This window comes from Homo sapiens, chromosome 14 (assembly GCF_000001405.40).
Source record: "Homo sapiens chromosome 14, GRCh38.p14 Primary Assembly".
In the NCBI taxonomy this organism is placed as follows: Eukaryota; Metazoa; Chordata; class Mammalia; order Primates; family Hominidae; genus Homo; species Homo sapiens.
Window position 1 is genome coordinate 97,726,093 of NC_000014.9, and position 18,968 is coordinate 97,745,060.

Genomic DNA, 18,968 nt, shown 5'->3' on the forward strand with positions numbered 1-18,968 from the left:
CTTAAAATCTGATAGGCTTTATTTAAGAAGATTTGTATGATTTTATTTGAAAAGTTAATTTTTAACTATAATTCAAAATTTCTCTGTAGGTAAAACCCTGGCACAAATTTTCAGTTCCCAGTGACAGAAAACAAAAGAATAATGAAATGCTGGGGTTGGAAGAGCCTCCAGCCCAACTCCCCACCTGGCCTGCAACCCTGCCACATTCCCTGGGTCATCTCACTCTGTCTCCCAAGACACAGAAGCCTCTGCTCTTGGGAATTCCTTTCTCTTAGAACCTGACACACTCTGGCTGTTGGAAAATTGTCTCTCATAGATAAGTGTCTTTCTCTGGAACCCCTCTAGGCCCCTCTGAACCTAAGTGGTCTCAAAAGCCCTTCTCTGGTCTTCCCTTCCCAAAAGTGGCCTTCTGGAATCTGTGAGCATTACTGTGTGTCCCTGAAGTCTTTTCTTCCATGGGCAGACATTCTGAGTTTGTATAGTCAGTCATGGAAAGAACACGGCTTCTGTAGTCTTTGGGTAAAGTTGTGCCCTGGAGCTAAGTCAGGTCTACACAGATGGCACTTCTACTATGGAATCAGGGGCTGGATTTTGTTTTCAAATGGTTTTCAGTGTAGTTGACACTCTACCCTAAAATCCTTGCCAGGAAGTTGTAGGGGAGCTGCTGCATTCTTGACATAAAGGTGATTCTCCAATAGTTCCCCATTACATCTGAAATAAGATTTAAACTCCTCCTTCTTACCAGCAGAGCCGGATATGTTGCGGCCTGTGCACTTGGCCCCAGCTTATCTTACAGTTCTGTCCACTCACTCTCTCTTCCCCAGTCAAACTGGCATTTGCTTTACTCCGTGAACTTCTGCAAACTTGTCCTGACTTAGAGGCTTTGCAACTGCTGTTCCCTCTTCCTGGACTGCTCTTTTCCCAGATCTATGCAGGGCTAGCTCCTACCTGTTCTGTAGGTCTTTGTGTCAAATCAACCAGGATTTCTGGAGCTTTCTATCTAATATGTTTCTTTTCCCCTCAGCCACTGTCTGAGTCACTGTATCATTTCATAGCCCCTTTCAAGAAGAAAATTACCGTATTTACCCACTTGCTTACTTTTTTTTTTTTTTTTTTGACGGAGCCTCCCTCTGTTGCCAGGCTGGAGTGCAGTGGCGCGATGTCGGCCCACTGCAACCTCTGCCTCCTGGGTTCAAGCGATTCTCTTGGTCTCAGCCTCCTGAGTAGCTGGGACTACAGGCACATGCCACCACACCCAGCTAATTTTTGTATTTTTAGTAGAGACGAGGCTTCACCATGTTGGCCAGGATGGTCTCGATCTCTTGACCTCGTGATCCGCCCGTCTCAGCCTTCCAGAGTGCTGGGATTACAGGCGTGAGCTACCGTGCCCAGCCCCCTACTTGCTTACTCTTTAGTTTACTTTCCTTAAATAAGCTTCACTCTACACTAGTGGAAATGATGCACTTTTTTTTTGGTTTAAGTCTCTGTTCCTGTTAAAATGAAATTGCATCTGGAACGTGGTGTAGCCCACTGGGGCTATTTGCTGAATTAATGCCTTTGTGAATGATGGAATGGGCTGAGTATGGGGAGAGCTTAAAATAAGTATGTAGAGTCAAGGCATCTTAGAGGCTGTAAAATATTGGAGAGATTGATTCGAATTCACTATGCTTATTCCATAGACAGTGAATCTGTGTCCAACAAAGCCAAGTCATGCACCCAAGATCACACCCTGAGTACATGCAAGAACTGGTCCGGGAGTCCAGCTTCCTAACAGCAGTGGCCCTTTTTCTTCTTTTGACAATGAAAAGCAAATGCATCAGCATACACCAAAAGTGCTAAATCAGTTAGTTACTTTAGATCGAGGATTTTCCAAGCAGATTTTCTAAGATGATATTTTTGATGTAGAGAAGATCTGAATAGAAAGCAAGGAGGTTAAAATGTAGGTAGAATATCTGAGAAAAAAAATCCAGGAGCAGGAGTCAGCAGATGAGATGCAAGGAAAAGCACAGAATGAGGCCTGGCAGGAAGACCCCAAGGTAGGGGTGGGGAGCCTAGTGGTGGGCAGGCCTTGGACATCCAGAAAAGAGCTTTGGATTTTAGCTCCTGCACATTGGTGGTCTTTTGAGGAATTGGTGGGATTTGAGGAATGCAAGTAGCAATGGTGGATGGAGAAAATGGAAAGAGAAAAGAACCACATACAGGAAGGCCTATCCAGAGGTCACTGATGGGCAGAGGGTCGTCCAGGCAATGACCACACCAAGCAGCAGAGGAATGACTTAAGGAGCTTGTGCTGAGGGAGGAGGTAAGGAGCTTGTGTCCAGAAAAGCAGAAAGGAAGGTGTGCACATTTATGAGTTGCTCCCAGGACTTCCTGCAGGAAGAGTGCACAGGGCTCCAGCAGTCCCTGCTGCTTGTCAGCTGTGAGCTCTAACAATCTTCCCAAAAAGCTGCGAAGACCTGGGTGCCATCAGTGATTTCAGTTGCCCCCTCCACACAGCCTTGGAGGCACCTGGTAGCGTAACACAGGCAGAAGTTTTGGAGCCAGACAAGCTGGTTTTCTAGGAAACAGCAAGGTGATGTTGATTTTTTTGTTGTAATTCCCTTTTTGGAATCACAGTTTCTCATCTCTACAAAGAGATAAACAATGGCTACCATTTAGCATTATTATAAAGATTATGTGAGAATTTATGTGTTAAATGCATATAATCATTTATGGCAATACAAAGTGTTCATACATATTTATTCACCTATATTTTTCCTTTGTATGTAACCTGGACCTCTGGCTAAACCTCTTTGATTTGAGATTTTTTTTTTTTTTTTTTTTTTTTTTTTTTTTTTGAGACGGAGTCTCGCTCTGTCGCCCAGGCTGGAGTGCAGTGGCGGGATCTCGGCTCACTGCAAGCTCCGCCTCCCGGGTTCACGCCATTCTCCTGCCTCAGCCTCCCAAGTAGCTGGGACTACAGGCGCCCGCCACCACGCCCGGCTAATTTTTTTGTGTTTTTTAGTAGAGACGGGGTTTCACTGTGTTAGCCAGGATGGTCTCGATCTCCTGACCTCGTGATCTGCCCGCCTCGGCCTCCCAAAGTGCTGGGATTACAGGCGTGAGCCACCGCGCCCGGCCTGATTTGAGATTTTTTTAAAAAATTTTTATTTTTTATTATAAGTATAATCTTTAAGTTCTGTGGTATATGTGCACAATGTGCAGGTTTGTTACATAAGTAATACATATGCCATGTTGGTTTGCTGCACCCATCAACTCATCATTTACATTAGGTATTTATCCTAATGCTATCCCTCCCCCAGCCCTCCACCCCACGACAGGCCCTGGTATGTGACATTCCCCTCCCTGTATCCATGTGTTCTCATTATTCAACTCCCACTTATGAGTGAGAACATGCAGTGTTTGGTTTTCTCTTCTTGTATTACTTTGCTGAGAATGATGGCTTCCAGTTCCATCCATGTCCCTGAAAAGGACATGAACTCATCCTTTTTTATGGCTGCATAGTATTCCATGGTGTATATGTGCCACATTTTATTTATCCAGTCTATCGTTGATGGGCATTTGGGTTGGTTCCAAGGCTTTGCTATTGTGAACAGTGCTGCAATAAATATACGTGTGCATGTGTCTTTATAGTAGAATGATTTATAATCCTTTGCGTATATACCCAGTAATGGGATTGCTGGGTCAAATGGTATTTCTAGTTCTAGATCCTTGAGGAATTGCCACACTGTCGTCCATATGATTTGGGATTTATTGATTTAAGAATTTTCCCAGGTAAGAAGTTTGAAAGTCGCAGTTTCCTAGTATGTTATCAAGAAGAATTTAAGGTCATTTAGTCCATAAATTAAGTTTTTTTGTTTACATTTGTGTTGTGGAGGGTTGGTAGCATTGTTTCAAATTTTTGACTTACTTGCCCATTTTGAACTGGAATACTTCACATAGTGGGAAACTTTTAACATCTCTTGAAAAGTCTGAAAGTCCAACAGCCAGCTGTCCAGCAGTGACCATTAGCTGAAGCTGGGTGTCTCTTATCCCACCCTCTAGTTGGATTGGTCTGTTAGGGCTTTCATAACAGAGTACCACATACTGGTGGCTTAAACAGTAGAAATGTATTGTGTCACAGTTCAGAAGGCTAGAAGTCCAAGATGAAGGAGTCCGTAGGACTGGTTCCTTTGAGGGATTTGAGAGGATCTGTTCCATGCCTCTCTCCTGGCTTCTGGGGTTGCTGAAATCTCTAGCATTCCTTGGCTTGTAGAAGCATCACCCTGACCTCTGTCTTTCTACTCATGGGGTGTCCTCTGTGTGTGCTTGTCTCTGTGTTCAAATTCCCTTTTCATAAGGACACTAGTATTGAATTAGGGTCCACCCTAATAACCTCATCTTCACTAATTACATCTGCAGTGACCACATTTCCAAACAAGGTTACATTGTGAGGTACTCAGGATTAGGACTTCAACATATGAGTTTGCGAGGAACACAGTTTAACTCATAACACCAGCTTAATATCATCCCCTCCCCCAGGCTTCTGGCAGGCATCTGCAAAGTCCACCTGGCTACTGTCATTTTCAGCATGCAGTCCACAACTTTTGGTCAAAAACCTCCTTTCTATCACAGTGGACCTGAGGCCCACATTTCAGTAAAGCAAGAGGCAACTACAAGGTCTGCAGTGTTTGGTTGGGTTGAAGGCTCTGTCAAGTGACTCTCCCAAGGTAGCACAGCTAGAGGCAGCCGGCCCTTTATGGATTCTGGTCCATTCATCTGCGTGCCTCCGGTTCAGCCTGAGAGGAAGTAGTGAGAAACAATACTGTTTCAAGTGTAGTGCCTCTGAGATGGGCGAGGAGTTGAGAAGTCAAGAGGGAGGGTTTGTTTGGGGAGGGCAGGTGACATGCAGGTGGAGCAGTGATAGGTGAAGCCTGAGGTGACATCCTAGGGGAACTGTCCAGGAGGTAGGGGAATGTGAGATTGGTGTGCTCCTGTCTGCCCTCCAAACAGATCAAACCAGAACCTTCTCATATTTGGTGAGGACCTTATCAGGGTGATACTTTGTTAGGAATTCTTGTACTCTTGTCATTTTTCACCTAATGTAAATTGATAATTAGGAAGCATTACACATATTCACAGAGTAAAGGTCTTGAGATAAAGCACAATTTCTCAGTGTTTTTTTTTTTCAGATGAAAAACGTTTCTTTGTGGGTTACTCTTATGAAGAGGAAGTGTTTTTTCCCTACCAAAATGGCAGTTAAATTATATTTTGATAATATTCTCAATGTGTCAGCTGCCAACAGCACTTTAAATAATAAGAATTAGATTCTTCCTAAACAAGGCAGTAATTCTATTGAAAAATGCTGGAGGCCCCGTAGCTCAGGGTCTTAGAACTGAACCACAGGCTTGCTGCAAGGTTTACAAAATTCTCAAAACTTGGACACAAATGTGGCATCCTTCTTTAGAGATCTGCCTTACTCCATAATACTGATGAGGAATAGGTATGCAGTTCTCAGGAGATCATTAGGAACATTCATATGGCTCTTCTTATTTGGGTGTCCCTAAACTTCACACAATCAGGTAGGAATTACAGTTGATCCTTAAACAATGTGGAGGTTAGGGGCCCCAATTCGTTGTGTTGTCAAAATTCCACATACGACTTTTGACTCTCCAAAACCGAAAACACTAACAGGCTACTGCTAACCAGAAGCCTTACTGGTAACATAAACAGTTGATTAACACATAGATAGACTGATATTTAGGTATATTTTATGCATCCATGACATACCTGTTTCCTCCTTTTAAAAATATTTCTAGGCCATGTGTTTGTCTGAGGTTTTTCAAACTGTCTCAAATCTCTAAAGAAATGTTCCAATGTGTTTACTGAAAAAAAATTTGCGTATAAGTGCACCTGCACAGTTCAAACCCTTGTTGTTTAGTAGTTAACTGTACCGTCTTCCTTTTACAGTAGAGAAAGCTGAGACTTAGGAAGAAGACAAGACTCACTCAAGGCTGTACAAAAAGTGAGTGGCTGAGCTAGGAGTAGTCATGGCAACCACAATCTGGTGTGTGGTACTCCTGGGTGATACCTGGGGACCAGGGGCAGCCAGGGCAGCCATAGCCAAGTGCCTTGACTATATAATTCCAATATATTATACATTTTAGGGTGTTTAAAATGGCCACCAGAAGAAATGATTTGACATTGTACAGCATAGGCACTGTTGCTTAATGAAAGAAATAGATACAAGTAAAGTACAAGTATTCATAAATGATTACTGGGTACCACACCATACTCTCAGCTCTTGAGCTAAAGTCAGACATTAACATCATACAACTCTATCGTCATCGTTGTCATGATCAACATCATCCATTCATTTTAGAGTTGAGCAAACTGAAGCTCAAATTTTATATATATATGTATATATATGTATATATATATGTATATATATGTATATATATATGTATATATATGTATATATATGTATATATATATGTATATATATATGTCTATGTGTGTGTGTGTTTAATTAAACTTAATATATAGTGAGTTCTTTTTAACAGGTTCTGTGCTTATACACTCTCAATTCCTTTCTGCTACAACTCTGTGTTGCTATGTGTGTGCATGCCATTATGCTCCTATGGAGATGTTGAATTCCCCCTCTTTTTTCACTACACATCTAGTTAAACAAAAAGTTTGCAAAGCAAGGAACCCAAGTTACCAGGAATGAAAAATGTGTGCTAAAATTTTGGGAAACTTTTGGGAAGTTTTTTTCTGATTCACTTAAAAATAATTTTAATAAATTGTAAGTCAAACTAACAGACACAAAAATGTTATGACAAAACATAATTACCATATTTACCCAATAGCTAGAATTCACAAATGTAAACCTTTTGCTACTTTTCACTTTGATTTTTTAAATTAATCACTCTGGAGGGAGTCAAAATCCCTTATATTCTTTTGTGACCCTGTTTCTCTTTTTCCATCTCCAGAAATCTCCAGGATTTTATAATTGATCTGCACCCTTCTCTTTTATATTTTATACTTTTGTTATGCAGGCATTTGTCTACAACACTTTGTAGCCTAGCTGTAGAATTAACTGGCATGATACTAATTTCCAAAAAAACTTTTAAAGTATCTATATTTAAAAATTTGTCAGATATAAAAATGTACATATAGTATAATAGACACACATATTTAAGTAACACAAAGTTGACATGTGCAAATACTCTTTTACTTTCTTCAGATATTTTTTCTTAAAAAAAAACCACTAATCCCAACACTTTGGGAGGCCAAGGTGGGCAGATCACCTGAGGTCAGGAGTTCGAGACAAGCCTGGCCAACATGGTGAAACCCCATCTCTACTAAAAACAAAAAAAATTAGCCAGGAGTGGTAGTGGGTGCCTGTAATCCCAGCTACTTGGGAGGCTGAGGCAGGAGAATCACTTGAACCTGGGAGGTGGAGGATGAAGTGAGCCGAGATTGTGCCACTGCACTCCAGCCTGGGCAACAGAACAAGACTCCATTTCAAAACAGAAACAAAAACACAAACAAACATTACAGATTTGGCTAATGGACCATCACCTAGCATACCACCTCCTACTCCCCATACAATTTTATTCCTTTTTCCTTTTTCTAAGAGAATCTTTTCTAAGATTAACACAAGAATAACTGATTCTTTTCTGTTTTATACTTGTACCATATTAAAGTAGCCTTAAGTTATACAGAATAGTGTGTGATGTGTTCTTTAAGATTTATATACCTGGTATTCTTACCTCTAGCTCTGTATCAATCTATTCCTTAGTTGCCTTTTTGTTTAAATTAACTTTTAGAATCGTCCATGTTGATAGATGACACTTTATTCATCTTAACTTTGATTTAACATATCATTTATTTGTTCATTCTTATTGTGACGGACACGTACATAGTTGTCTTATTTTATTTTTCCTATTACAAACAACACTATAACAAACATCCTTATACATGTCTTCTTGCATATTTCTGTCAGTATTTAATTCGGGTGTGAATACATCCAAAGGGGAATGGTAGGTCACTGAGTAAACACATCTCAAAGTTACCAGATTTTGCAAAATTGTTCTTCAAAGTGGTCATAACAGCTTACATATCTATTAGTGTATAGGAGATTTCTCTTTTCTTTATTTTCTCACTAACACTTGATATTATTAGATTTTTTTTAAATTAAAGCTTCTTAATGTTGTAGCAACACATTCTTTAAAGGTATTACATTGTTTTAATTTGCATTTCCCTGATGACTAGTTAGTGGAAATATCTTTCCCATACTTATTAGCCTTTGAGTTTTCTTCTTTATGAATTGTCTTTTAAATTAATTGCCAATTTTGTATTATGTATTTCTACTTCTATATTCTTGATGAAATTATATATTTTATCTAATCGCTAAGATCTATCTATCTGTCTGTCTACCTATACAATCCTTTTGGTTATATGCTTTGCAAATACATTTATCAATCTATAGTTCATCTTGTAAGTTTGTCTACAGTATTTTTTAAATCACCGAAGTCTTTATTTTCAGTATACTTACATTTATTAATTTTTTTCTAGCTTCTTTCAAAAAATGATCTATGAACAGAATACTAGTTTAGTCTGTTGGAATTATCATTATTAATTTAACAATACTGAAAAATAATTTGGTTGAATATAGAATTCTGTTAGACAGTTTCATTTTCTCACAACTTTGAAGGATTCTTCTCCTTCTTCCTCCTCCTTCTTCCAGTCCAAACTAATTGGTATTCCTCATACAGAATCCATATATTATTCTCTTGCAAAGTTGTCTCGGTATAGATTTGTTACTCATCGTAACAAATTCCATGTGTTCCATCAAACAGGATATTTTATTAATTTGCAGTTATTTTCATCTATTATCTTTTTGGTAATTCTGTTTTCTTCCTCTGGAAATTTTGTTAAATATATGTTGGACATTCTAATTCTACTTCTTTCATAATATTTATTTTTTCACACTGTGATGCATTTACAGTAATATGGTAATACCCTCTGGTCAGTCTTTCCTGTTTTTTTTTTTAGATGGAGTCTCGCTCTGTCACCAGGCTGGAGCGCAGTGGCATGATCTCAGCTCACTGCACTCTCTGCCTCCTGGGTTCCAGCGATTCCCCTGCCTCAGCCTCCCTCCCTAGTAGCTGGGACTACAGGAGCACACCACCATGCCCTGCTAATTTTTTGTGTTTTGGTAGAGACGAGGTTTCACCATGTTGGCCAGGATGGTCTTGATCTCCTGACCTTGTGATCCACCCTCCATGGCCTCCCAACAGTCACTCCTTTTATCCATTCTTTTTCAGCTATGTCTAATCTGTGTTTTGAATTATATATTTAGAGGGATTTTGGTGTATACATGTATGTATTATAGTGATATGTATATTCACCTATGACATGTATAAAAATATGTATTTCTTTTTATTTATCTTTATTTAAAAAATCACTGATTTAATTCTCTGATTCCAACCAAGCACAACACTACAGGTTAGAATCTTGTTTCTTCCTTTTCATATTTGAAACTCCCTTCACAATAGTGAGAGAAATCTGTATTCTATTATCCTTAATATATTTACTCATTTACTCTAGTCTAGAATACATAGAAAGCAATTTCAGAATTGCTAACCCATACCACTGGAAAAATCAAATCTACTAACTAAAGTTTGATATTTATTTACAATTCTTTACATGCAATTTACATACTTGGAAATGGAGAATCTTTAGTGTACAATCCAATGAGTTTTGACAAATGAGCAAACCCCTGTAAACCACACCGCTGTTGAGGTACAGAATGTACCCATCGCCCCAGAAAGTTCCTTGCAGTCGTCCCCAGTTAACTCCCTTCCTTGCTTCCAACTGGAGGCATCCACTGTTCTAATTTTTCACCATTGTTTTGTCTGTTTTAGAATTTCACATAAATAAAATAATCTGCATTGCTTTTTGTACAGCTTCTTAGCATGTTTGTGTGATTTATGCAGTTGCATGTATCAATATTTCACTCAATTTTATTGCTAAGTAATATTTTATTATATTATACTTTTCGTATCTGTTTTCCTGTTGATGGACATTTGAGTTGTTTCAGGTTTTAGCTGTTATAAGTAAAGTTGTCATAAACATTTTGGTACAAATTTGTGTAAAGATATATGTTTTTATTTCCACTGAGCAAATTCCTTGAATTGGAATTATGAGGTCAAAGATAGGTCTATAATTAAAAATACAAACTGCCAAACTTTCTCAAAGAAGTTATGCCATTTTTCTTTCCCACTAGCAATATAAGAGAGATATATGTTCCACATCATCACACCATTTTACTTTAACAGATACTTTATCCTTTCTAGTGTGTATGTAGTGGCATTTCATCGTGGTTTTAATTGTGTTTCTCTGATGACCAATGATGCAGAGAAATTTTCAGGTACTTATTGGCCATTTTCATGTCTTCCTTTGTGAAATATTTGTTCATATATTTTGCTTAGTTTTTGCTTTTTTAAAAAAATTTTACTTTAGGTTCTGGGATATATGTGCAGAACGTGCAGGTTTGTTACATAGATATTCGTGTGTCATGGTGGTTTGCTGCAGCTGTTGACCCTTCCTCTATGTTCCCTTCCCTCATCCCCCACATTCCAACAGGCCCTGGTGTGTGTTGTTCCCCTCCCAGTGTCCATGTGTTCTCATTTTTCAAGCTCCACTTATGAGTGACAACATGTGGTGTTTGGTTTTCTGTTCCTGTATTAGTTTGCTGAGGATGATGGCTTCCAGCTTCATCCATGTCCCTGCAAATGACATAATCTCATTCATTCTTATGGCTTCTTGGTATTCCATGGTGTGTATATACCACATTTTCTTTACCCAGTCCATCATTGATGGGCATTTGGGTTGGTTCCAAGACTTTGTTGTTGTAAATAGTGCTGCAATAAACATACATGTGCATGTGTCTTTATTGTAGAATGATTTATATTCCTTTGGGTATATACCCAGTAATGAGATTGCTGGGTCAAATTGTATTTCTGGTTCTAGATCCTTGAGAAATTGCCATGCTGTCTTTCATAGTGGTTGAACTAATTTATATTCCCACCAATGTGTAAAAGTATTCCTATTTCTCCAGAGCCTCATCAGCATCTATTGTTTCTTGACTTTTTAATAATTGCCATTCGGACTGGCATGAGATAGTATCTCATTGTGGTTTTGATTTTCATTCCTCTAATGATCAGTGATGTTGAACTTTTTTTTACTTGTTTGTTGGTTGCATAAATGTCTTCTTTTGAGAAGAGCCTGTTCATATCCTTTACTCACTTTTTGATGGGGTTGTTTGTTTTCTTGTAAATCTGTTTAAGTTACTTGTAAATTCTGGATATTAGACCTTTGTCAGATGCGTAGATTGCAAAAATTTTCTCCCATACTGTATTTTGCCTGTTCACTCTAATGATAGTTTCTTTTGCTATGCAGAAGCTCTTTAGTTTAATTAGATCCCATTTGTCAATTTTGGCTTTTGTTGCAATTTCTTTTGGCATTTTTGTCATTAAGTCTTTGCCCGCGTCTATATCCTGAATGGTATTGCCTAGGTTTTCTTCTAGGGTTTGTATGGTTTTGGGTTTTACATTTAAGTCTTTAATCCATCTTGAGTTAATTTTTGTATAAGGTGTAAGGAAGGGTTCCAGTATTAATTTTCTGCATATGGCTAGCCAGTTTTCCTAGCACCATTTATTGACTAGGAGATCCTTTCCCCATTGCCTGTTTATGTCAGATTTGTTGAAGATCAGATGATTGTAGATGTGTTGTGTTATTTCTGAGGTCTCTTTTCTGTTACGTTGGTCTATGTATCTGTTTTGGTACCAGTACCATGATGTTTGGGTTGTCTGTTTTGATATCACTACCACGTTGTTTTGGTTACTGTAGCCCTGTAGCACAGTTTGAAGTCAGGTAGTGTGATGCCTCCAGCTTTGTTCTTTTGCTTAGGATTGTCTTGGCTATACGGAGTCTTCTTTGATTCCATTTGAAATTTAAAGTAGTTTTTTTCTAATTCAATAAACAATGTCAATGGTAGTTTGATGGGAATAGCACTGAATCTATACATTACTTTGGGCAGTATGGCCATTTTCATGATATTGATTCTTCCTATCCATGAGGATGGAATGTTTTTCTATTTGTTTGTGTCCTCTCTTACTTTCTTGAGCAGTGGTTTGTAGTTCTACTTGAAAAGGTCCTTCACATCCCTTGTTAACTCTATTCCTAGGTATTTTTTTCCCTTTCTAGTGATTGTCAATGGGAGATCATTCATTATTTGACTCTCTGCTTGTCTATTGTTGGTTTAAAGGAATGCTTGTGATATTTGCACAGTGATTTTTTATCCTGAGACTTTGCTGAAGTTGCTTATTAGCTTAAGGAGTTTTTGGGCTGAGATGATGGGGTTTTCTAAATATGAAATGAAGTTGTCCACAAAAAGAGACAATTTGACTTACTCTCTTCCTATTTGAATACGCTTTATTTCTTTCTCTTCCCTGATTGGCCTAGCCAGAACTTCCAATACTATGTTGAATAGGAGTGGTGAGAGAGGACATCCTTGTCTTGTAACAGCTTTCAAAGGGAATGCTTCCAGCTTTTGCCCATTCAATATGATATGGGCTGCGAGTTTGTCATAAATAGCTCTTATTATTTTGAGGTATGTTCCATCAATACCTAGTTTATTGAGAGTTTTTAACATGAAGGTTGTTAAATTATATCAAAGGCCTTTTCTGCATTGATTGAGATAATCATGTGGTTTTTGTCTTTGGTTCTGTTTATGTGATGGATTACATTTATTGATTTGTGTATGTTGAACCAGCCTTGCATCCCAAGGATGAAGCTGACTTCATCGTGTTGGATAAACTTTTTGATGTGGTGCTGGAGTCTGTTTACCAGTATTTTATTGAAGATTTTCAAATTGATGTTCACCATGAATATTGGCCTGCAGTTTTCTTTTTTTGTTGTGTCTCTGCCCCATTTTGGTACCAGAATGATGCTGTCTTCATGAAATGAGTTAGGGAGGCATCTCTCCTTTTCAATTGTTTGAAATAGTTTCAGAATGAATGGTATCAGCTCCTCTTTGTATCTCTGGTATAATTTGGCCGTGAATCTATCTGGTCCTATGCTTTTTTTGGTTGGTAGGCTATTAATCACTGCCTCAATTTCAGAACTTGTTATTGGTCTACTCAGGGATTTGAGTTCTTCCTGGTTTAGTCTTGGGACGGTGTATGTGTCCAGGAATTTATCAATTTCTTCCAGATTTTCTGGTTTATTTGTGTGGAAGTGTTTATAGTATTTTCTGATGGTAGTTTGTATTTCTGTGGGGTCAGTGGTAATATGCCCTTTATCATTTTTTTATTGTGTCTATTTGATTCTTCTCTCTTTTCTTCTTTATTAGTCTAGCTAGCAGTTTATCTCTTTTGTTAATTTTTTCAAGAAACCAGCTCCTGGATTCATTGATTTTTTGGAGAGTTTTCTTTGTCTCTATCTCCTTCAATTTTGTTCTAATCTTAGTTATTTCTTGTCTTCTGCTAGTTTTTGGATTAGTTTTCTCTTGCTTTTCTAGTGCTTTTAATTGTGATGTTAGGGTATTGATTTGAGATCTTTCTAATTTTCTGATGTGGGTATTTAGTGCTATGTATTTCTGTCTTAACACTGTTTTAGCTGTGTCCCCGAGATTTTGTATATTGTCTCTATGTTCTCATGGGTTTCAAAGAACTTCTTGATTTCCGCCTTGATTTCATTACTTACCCAGGAGTCATTCAGGAGCAGATTGTTCAGTTTCCATGTAGTTGTGTGGTTTTGAGTGAGTTTCTTAATCCTGAGTTCTAATTTGATTGCATTGTGGTCTGAGAGACTGTTATGATTTCCATTCTTTTGCATTTGCTGAGGAATGTTTTACTTCCAATTATGTGGTCAATTTTAGAATAAGTGTGATGTGGCACTGAGAAGAATGTATATTCTGTTGATTTGGGGTGGAGAGTTGTGCAGATGTCTATTAGTTCCATTTGATCCAGAGCTGAGTTCAAGTCCTGAATATCCTTGTTAATTTTCTGTCTCATTGATCTGTCTAATATTGACAGTGGGGTGTTAAAGTCTCCTACTATTATTGTGTGGGAGTCTAAGTCTCTTTGTAGGTCTTTAGGAACTTGCTTTATGAGTCTGGGTGCTCCTGTATTGGGTGCATATATATATTTAGAATAGTTAGATCTTCTAGTTGAATTGTTGCCTTGACAATTATGTAATGCCCTTCTTAGTCTTTTCTGATCTTTGTTCGTTTAAAGTGTGTTTTGTCAGAGACTAGGATTGCAACCTCTCCTTTTTTCTTTTTTTGCTTTCGATTTGCTTGGTAAATTTTCCTCCTTCCCTTTATTTTGAGCCTATGTGTGTCTTTGCACGTGAAATCGGTCTCCTGAATAAAGCACACCAATGGGTCTTGACTCTTTATCCAATTTGCCAGTCTGTGTCTTTTAACTGGGGCGTTTAGCCCATTTACATTTAAGGTTAGTATTGTTATGTGTAAATTTAATCCTGTCATCATGATGCTAGCTGGTTATTTTGCACACTAGTTGATGCAGTTTCTTCATAGTATCAGTGGTCTTTACATTTTGGTGTGTTTTTGCATTGGCTGATACCCGTTTTTCCTTTCCATATTTAGTGCTTCTCTCAGGAGCTCTTACAAGGCAGGCCTGGTGGTAATGAAATCCCTCAGCATTTGATTCTCTGGAAAGGATTTTATTTCCCCATCACTTATGAAACCTAGTTTAGCTGGATATGAAATTCTGGATTGAAAATTCTTTTCTTTAAGAATGTTGAATATTGGCGCCCAATCTCTTCTGGCTTGTAGAGTTTCTTCTGAGAGGTCTGTTATTAGTCTGATGGGCTTCCCTTTGTAGGTGACCTGGCGTTCCTCTCTGGCTGCCGTTAACATTTTTTCTTTCATTTCGACCACAGTCTGCCACAGCTGGTGTGTTGAGCTGTGGGGACACCTCCTGGGACCAAGCCGTCCAGCCTCCCTGGCTCCAGCAGGGGAAAAGCATGAGCTGGAGCTATAGAGTTGGATGTCACCCTCCTCCTGCCCAGGGAGCTTAATGTATTAGGCAGCTATGAGTCCCCATGCTGCCTGCTGGCTCTCTCTCAAGGAGCTCAAACGGCTTAGAGAGCAGGCACCCCCAGCTGTGGTGCTGGTTGCACCTCTCTTCAGTAGCTTGGCAGGCTTAGGCAGATTCCAGCTGAGAGGCTGTTGAGAATCTGTGCGGCTCTAGAGTTGGGACCCTAGGCCCCGGTGGTATGGTTTTGTGAGTGAGAACTTCTGACCTGTGGGTTGCACAGTTCCGTGGACAAAGCATGGTTTCCTCGGCTGGGTAGCATGCTCATTCACCACCTCCCTTTGCTGGAGGGTGGGGGCTCCCCCGCCCTATGTGGCTTTCAGGTGGGCCACTGAACCACACTGCTTCTCCTTCCTCTCCATGGATTATGTCAGTTGCCTAGTCAGTTCTGATGACAGAACCTGGATACCTTGGTTGCCAGTGAAGGATTAGCATGCTAATTATGGTTCTTTTTTGATGGGAGCCTCTGATTGCTGCTGTTTCTAGTCAGCCATCTTGGCCTTGGCCCTATTTTGCTTATTTTTCAAATTATCTTGCTTTTTTTTTTTCTTTTTTAGATTGAGGTGTAAGAATTTGTTATATACTCTGAATAAAAGTCTTTAGTTAGATATATATTTTACACATATTTCTCCCAGTTTGAGACTTTCTCAATTATTTTCTTGAATGTGTTTTTGGATAAGCAGGTTTTTAAATACATTTAGGAAATTCTAACATTATTTTTTCTTTTGTGGTTATTGTTTTCTGTGTCTTGTTCAAGAAAATTTTACCCCCAAGTCATGCAAATTACCTTATTTTTTTCTAAAAGCTTTATAGTTTTAGCTTTTATTTAAATTAAACTTGAATTTTGTGTATGGTGTCAGATAAAGGTTGAGGTTCATTTTGTTCCCAGAAGAATACCTAGTTCACTGAAAATACTTTGCTTTTTTCATGTAATTGCTTTGATATATTTGTTGAAAAGCTGTTAACCATATAAATGTGGGTCTTCCATATTTTCTGTTCATTTTTATTGATTTATTTCTCCAGCCTTATGTAAATGCCACATTGCCTTATTAAATGTAACTGTATAGTAAGACTTGGTAATTTCTTCAACATAGTTTTATTAGTCAAGATTGCTTTGGCTATTTTAGGTTCTTTGCATTTCCATGTAATTAATTTGTCAATATCTTTTTTAAAAGCCAGCTAGAATTATAACTGAAATCATTGAATCTATAAATCAGTTTGAGTAGAATTGATATCTTAATAATACTGAGACTTCAATCTATGAACATGGTATATCTCTCTATTCGTTTAAGTCTTCCTAATGAATAACCTAAATTATTATAGTTTAGCAATTATAGTAGCTATTAGTGTATATCTCTCATACAGCTTTTGTTAAATGCATAAAGCATTTTGTTATTTTAAATAAATTTCAAGAATTTTATTTTCCAGTATATATAAAGTTTAATCTTGTATACTCATCTTGCATCCTGAGAATATTAGTTCTAAGTGTTGGTTTATTTATTTGTTTGTTTGGTGGGTCACAGAGTATTTTCTAAATAGAAAATCTTGTTGTCTGAAAAAAAAAGGGACTGTGTTACTTATTTCTTTTCAATATTTATGTTTGTATTCATTTTTCTTGCTTTGGTTTTTTTTTGACCAGGATCATCTTTGTCTTCTTTATAATGTTAAAGAGAAACAATAATTTAGTGTTTCTCCATATTGCTGATATCTCCATGATGTCAGCAGTAGGTTTTTCATACAATCCCTGTATCAGATGGGAGAAGTTTTATTCTATTTTTATCTTGCTAAAAGTTTTATTTATGTATTTTAAAAATCATGAATAGATGCACAGTTTTGTCAGATGCATTTTCTCTATCTATGGTTGATTTTTAGATCTTAAACATTTTGTTCCTCAGACAAAGCTCATTTGGTAATAATATTTATAATTTTTTATATATAACTGGATTAAAAATGTTGGTCTTTTGTTAATAATCTTAAAATTCATATTAATAAAGAATATTACTTTATAAATAGTTTAATATTGTTATAAAGTTTAGGTAACAGGGTTTTCTGGTCTCATAAAACAAGCCAGGAAGTGGATTGGATTTCCTCTATTTTCTGAAAGTGTCAGTGTAAGTCTGACATTATTTAGTCATCAAATATTTTATATAATTCAATAGCGAAACCATCTGGGCTTGGACTTCTTGTGTTTGCTATATATAAGAAAGACAAAGAATATATACATACACACACATACATACATACACACACACACACATATATGTGTGTGTGTGTATATGTGCATATATATACACACACACATATATATAAATATAAATATATATATATATATATATATATATATATATATATATATATTTGACCTTTGAATGATGTGGTAGTTAGGAGTGCTAGCTCCATATGCAATCAAAAATGTGTGTATAACTTTTGACTCCCCCAAAACTTAACTACTAATAGCCTACTGTTGACCAGAAGCTTTATGGATAACAAAAACAGTCTATTAACACATATTTTGTATGTTTGATGTATGATACTCTATATTTTTACAATAAATATTGTAAGTAAGAAAAGAAAAGAAAATGTTATTAAGAAAATTATAAGGAAAAGAAAATACATTTAAAATACTGTACTGTATTTATTGACACCATAAGTTATGTTGTCTGCTTACAAGATGAATCCAATATTTGAAATTGTGGGCAACCACAGCTGCAGACCTCAAAGTACACATCAAGCAATTCAACTTTCTTGTAATGTCATGACTTTTCTCTGCTTCTTGGGAGAATATCCAAAATCACTAGTGGAACTTTGTATGGGTCCCGTCGTGTTATTCAAGGTTTACGGTATTGCATGAAACAAGATGAACAATATGCGAGAACTGAGAGAGATCACTTTTTACTGCTATCTGCAATTTATTGTAGAGATGAACTGCTCAAGCGGAGATGATTAGCATTACATGATATTGTAAGCGGATGCTCAGAACACTTGAGCTCACCTCAATAGCAACAGGAGGTGGCTAAAAAATATTACAGTGATACAGTGTGTACTACAGTTAATTTTATGCAGCTATGATTTAATACTGCATCTTTACATTTCTTTACATTTCTCTTGACTGCAAATGGCACCATGTAAGGTCTCTAAGTGTTTGTGTACATAGGTTTTGATAAATTTTAACTTTTTGTAATAGATTTGTGTGTATTTCATGGTAATAAATGATAAATTAGACTAGTATCTCCATAAATTTTATGCATTCATGGCATACCTTTTTCTTTTCTTTTCTTTTTGATATTCCTAGGCTGTGTGGTTATGCCAGTTTTTCCAAATTGTTGCAAATCTTAAAAAATTTCCCAATATATTTATTGGAAAAAATTCCCATATAAGTGTACCTCTGCAGTTCAAACTCATGTTGTCCAAGGGTCAACACCATAAATATTTAGGTTTTTAATTTTGTCTTATGTCAGTTTTCTAAGTACTTTGTTCATTTTATTTAGATTGTCCATAATATTCTCTTATTATCCTTTCAAAGTCTGTATGATCTCTAAGGCTATCCTATCACTCGTTCTTGGTTTTGTTTTCCTCTTTTTTTAGTTTTTAAATTAACTTTCCTAAGACTTTACTGACAAACCTGAGAAAAACAAGCAATGAGCAAAATATTCTCTATTTAATGAATGTTGTTGAGAAAACTGACTAGCCATATGCGGAAAACTGAAACTGAACCCCTTCATTACACCTTATACAAAAATTAACTCAAGATGGACTAAAGATTTAAATATAAGACCTAAAACCATAAAAACCCCAAAAGAAAACCTAGGCAATATCATTCAGGACATAAGCATGGGCAAAGACTTCCTGATGAAA

General features: G+C 37.2%; 1 long non-coding RNA gene across 1 annotated transcript in view; it reads left to right on the forward strand.

The window, feature by feature from the left end:
* The window catches only part of LOC105370651 (uncharacterized), a 91,436-nt gene that overhangs the window by 19,958 nt on the left and 52,510 nt on the right, over nt 1-18,968 (forward strand). The gene's annotated exons all lie outside the window — the stretch shown is intronic.